At 50.0% G+C, this 4,779-nt stretch overlaps 1 annotated feature.

Annotated features, from left to right (window-relative positions):
* Window positions 514-1,076: an enhancer, noted in NCBI's record as "H3K4me1 hESC enhancer chr22:27692319-27692881 (GRCh37/hg19 assembly coordinates)". NCBI's record gives its function as "activates a minimal SCP1, AML or CMV promoter by ChIP-STARR-seq in primed H9 embryonic stem cells {active_cell/tissue: H9 hESC(primed)}" and the evidence as "EXISTENCE:reporter gene assay evidence [ECO:0000049][PMID:30033119]".

Below are 4,779 nucleotides of genomic sequence, written 5' to 3' on the forward strand. Positions count from 1 at the left end.
GAGGGAGAAAGAAAAAGGCAATAAAGGAAATGAAAAAAACAAGATGGAAGGATGAATGGATGGATAAATGGACAGTGGATGGGTGAAAGGAAAGGAGGGAGGAAGGGAGGAACAAAGGGAAGGAGAGAGATTAGATGAACCTGGTATTTCCCAAACTCAGTTGACCACAAAACCTTCTTTGTCAAAGATACACCTGTTTATAACACTTTGGGAAAGAAAACAAAACTACTCAGCACTCTGACCCCATCGCAGAGAGAAGGACACACAGTCATAGCCCTTAGCTCTGGTCTATATACATACACTATTTTATTGATTTGCTTGCTTTTATTTTTCACCTTCTTACCTTCCCCCAGACAGCAACCACCTGATCTCACACAGGCTCAGGGCACCACATGGCGCCGGGCACCACTTTGCCGCTGCAGCTCAGCCCAGAGCCTGCCGTCGGCACCTCGAGCCCACCGTGCAGTTGCTCAGCCCGTCTGCCTCCTCCATGAGCCACGGGTCCTCAGAGCGTCAGCAGAACAGCCGGGCCCGACTGCAAAGCCCGCAGTAGCACCAGCCTCGGAGGGAAACGAGATCTTGAATGGAAACATATGGATCTGAGAGGTGTGGGAGTCTGTCTTTTTTAAATTGCATCAAACCCTTCCCTTGCCTTGAGAGCTCTATGTGTTTCAAAGGCGCTGAACGCGATGGCAGGCTGCAGTTTGCTTTTCCCTGTTCACCTGCCTTCAGAGCGCCGAAAAATAATGAACCTCTCCCCTCACCCCGCCTTCAGCCTGCACAAGGAAGACGGAAAACAAGCAGCAACCTTCTTCCTAACCGTTTAACATGTCTCGACGCCTTCTTTTCCCCCATAGAAGGAATTGGCATTTTTTTTATATTCCTCTTTTTGCAAGACGTGTTTGTGCTGTGCAGATCAAACCCCTTTATTCCCAGTTTCTTGTTGGCTCCTGTGTTCTGGAACTTCAGAATGCCGTAGTAGGGAAGGCAGGGCTGGGGCCTGCAGAAAACGAGAGGAAACACTGGCTTGCAGATAGCAGAGTTCTCATTCATTCATTCATTCATTCACACAGCAAGCATTACACACTCAGCCTGCCCAGTAACTTTCATCCACTCATCCATCCATCCATCCATCCATCCACCCATCTATCCATTCATTCATTGGGTCTCCCACTATGTGCCTAGCATTATGCCGGGCACCAGGACCAGACATTCAAGTTTCAATAACACTGTTTTCAGAGACCACACTGCAGCTTGCAGATGTGAGGCCGGCTTTATTTTTAGCAGGAAAGCTAGTGGGGAAGCTAAATCAGCACAGGCTATCCCAAGGAAAGGCTTCAATGCTTGTAGGCAAAAGTCGGAGAAGGGGATGGAGGTGAGGAGTCAGGAGTGAGAGGCGCTATGCACATTTGATTCAGGAGTCGCCAGCACCCTGCCAGGAGGTAAGAACAGCCCCATTTTGCTGATGGGAAAACTGAGGCTCAGAGACAGGAAGAGCTGGAAGCAAGCTCATGCCGCAGTAAGATGGGCACAGGTCTCTGTGTGGTCAGTAAATGACCAGAGCCACAATCATTATATAATCAGGACACGGTGGGAGGGGCATAAAGGGGGTCAGAAGCTTCGTCACATTTTACCCTTACTACGGCCCCCATGAGGGTGGGGTAGGTTTTCTTACTGCCCCTGTTTTGCAGATGAGGAGATCTAGGCTCTGAGAGGCTCAGGTTTATTTAAGGTCGCACAATTGACAAAACCAGGATTGATTTCAATGCTTCCCCCTGCCACCCCCCACCCCCAACACACAGTCAGCTCAGCCAGATTCTACCCACACATGGCAGCTTGGAGGACACTTGGAGCCCTGAGTGTGGCTTTTCCCGACAAAGCCAGCGCTCAATTATTGGGAAGTGCCTCCCCCAGCCATTTCTGCATCCATTTGAGAAAAATAAATAAAGCTGGAGTCTGACTCTGCGGTGATAAGATGACAGGGGTGGACAGAGCGGGAGGTCAGCTGGCTTTGCAATGCCCCTGGCGAGAACAGACAGCATTCCCCACCATTAATGGGGTTCCTACACACACCCCCACACCCAGCCTTGGGGAAGTGCTGCTAATTGAATCTGCATAAGAACCTAAGCCTTCACCACTCCTTCCTGTCCATTTGATCTGATTACTTTTTTTGTTATAGTAGCAATGGCTTTAGTAATGTTCAGTTATGATTAAGGGGACAGGAATCTAAGAAAGGATAGATCTGTTAAAGTCACATGGACCTTCCTCTTCCTCTCAGCCCACTCCCACCCCAGCTGGAAAAAATTTAAACAGTTTTCAGGAAATGTGGGCTCTGTGTTAGGTTAGGGCAGTAAAGACTTTGCGTGTGTGTGTGTGTGTGTGTGTGTGTGTGTGTGTGTGTGTGTATGGATCAAAAAGCCCAGATAATTCATGTTTTTCTTGGGTTGTTCCAAACTGTCTTCTTTCCTTTCCTCTTCTTCTCCTCTACCTGAGAAGATGTTATTTTTGTTTTAAATGGAGATTATTATCCTTCAAACAGAAATATTGCCTCCAAATTTGGAGTAAGCAGATAATGAGGCCACTCTGGCAATTTCACACCGATGACAAGAGAAACATCTACATGACTGATTGACAGTTGCCACGGGAAAAGCAGAACCCTCCGAAATCCCTCCTCGGCTGGCTGCAGAAGGGTGGGTGGTGCGGGAGGGGGCCGGGGCTGAGAGATGGTCTGGTCTGAGGAAGCAGGGAAGCCTGGTGGCCCTGTGACCTCTGCCCACAATCTGTGGGGTCTTCACCACCTCGTCAGACATTTGAGCTGACAACTGTGTGAAATTGAAAATTGTGGAGCTGATTAAATGATGTATTTAAGGCTTCATGAAAGGAGGAGGTGGGTATGGGAGTGAGGAGGGGAAGAGTGAGGAGAGATGAAGGAGAGGGGAAGAGGGAGGGGGCAGGAGGAAGAGGGATAGGAAAAGAGAGAAAGGAGGAGAGTGGGGAGAGAGAAGAAGAGACAGAGAGAGATTGGGAGAGGGGAGAGAAATGGAGAATGGGAGAGAGAGGCGAAAGGAGGGAGAGGCAAGGAGGAAGATGGAGAGGAAGGGAGAAAAGGAAGGAGGAAGGGGTGAACGGAAAACAGAGAATTGAGAATTTAGAAGGAGAAAGAGAAGAAGAAGGGAGGAAATAAAAAAGATGAAACATGCAGGCAGAAATGACGAAAAGATGGAGAAAAAGAAATGAGAGAGACAAATATCCCCAGGAGAGAAGGAAAAGAGGAAAAATAGCGGAGGAGGAAGGAAGAGGAAAGAGAAAGAAAGAGAGAGATGAGGGTGCAGGGAAGAGAGACGAAGAGAGGAAGGGGGCCGAGCTGGGGAGGGGGAGGCCGCGCAGACGACGCTGCCGGGAGGGCTGGTGGAGGAGCAGGAAGTCTGGGGGCTCAGATGCGCGCCCTCGGTCCACCCCCTCTCTCCCCTGTAATGTGGGGAGGGTTTATCTCACCAGGAGCAGCAGGCTCAGTCACTGATCTAATCAAATTATTCAGCATTAAAAAACTGCCAAGACATTCCAGTACTTCAGCTCCCAGAGACCCAGCTGGGATCAAATGCTAATCAACATCGCCACGATATTTATTCCCACTGTCAGGCTGCTGCGTGTTTGTTTTCCGAGGGCTGCATACTAAAGCGGAGGAGCGAGATGGATCGGCCCAGTGGCCGGGAGATGAGGAGCCGAGGACGGCAGGGAGGAGGCCAGGCAGGTGGGGAAGAGAAGGCCGGACCCAGGAGAGGCACCCACAGAGCTCACAGGGCGGGGCAATGGCCCCGAAATCACCCCACCAAAATGTCCGGCGTCCTTTTCCAAGATGCCCTCTCCTCACCTCCACTCTCATGAGTCCCATTTCAAGGCAAGTCAGCGGCGGGTCTGGACTCAGAGAGGCTGACCTTTGAACTCAGCCTCTGTGATTCCAGGTACACGGTTTAACCTCTTTGGGCTTTGTGCTTTCTCCTCTGTCGCCTGGGGCCCTAAGCCCACCCCACCAGCTAGCCAGGGATTCACTGAGAGGGAGGTGATAAAAGAAGCAGGGCCAGACGGATGCTGGTCCGGGCCCTCGCTGTGTGACTGTGTGCAGCTTACTTAACCTCTCTGTGCCTCAAGTTTTCTCCTTGGTAACTGGGGATAACAATAGTGACCAATCCCACGAGGGTATCTGTTTAAGTGAATTAATACCCAGAAAGCATATATGAGCACTCAGTATATGTTAGGAATAATTACTAGCTCTCCACATTTTTGCAAGAGTTGGATGAAATAATGCATGTAAAATATTAGCAGGGGAGCTGGAATGGATGAGATCTGATCCCGATTATCAGGATCAAAGAATGAATCAAATGCCCACACTGTCATTGCGTTCGGGTTGCTGGGCTCTTACCTCTCTCAGGGATCCCTCCCTGGATCCCAGAGGGGCCTCTGAGCCAAGATCGCAGGCCCCGGGATGCCTTCCCTGCAGGGGCAGCAGAAACCAGGAAGGACCCTCCCAGACTCATGCCTGAACTTGGCACCCTTCTCCTGGGATCCTGCCCACCCCTCGCCCCCTCCCTGAAGGTCACAGCACAGGGGGGAAGACGAATTAATTTCCTTTGTTTTTCAGAGTTTCATTTTTTAAATTACAGCCTTCCCTCCTCTCTAATAAATACTCAACAATTAAAGCTTTTTTTTCTCAAAGTGTGATTTCAACATTTCAATGTCCCTCCCCTCCTGTCACCTTCGCTGCCATAAACAGATTCGTAA

Source organism: Homo sapiens, chromosome 22 (genome assembly GCF_000001405.40).
Source record: "Homo sapiens chromosome 22, GRCh38.p14 Primary Assembly".
Lineage (NCBI taxonomy): Eukaryota > Metazoa > Chordata > Mammalia > Primates > Hominidae > Homo > Homo sapiens.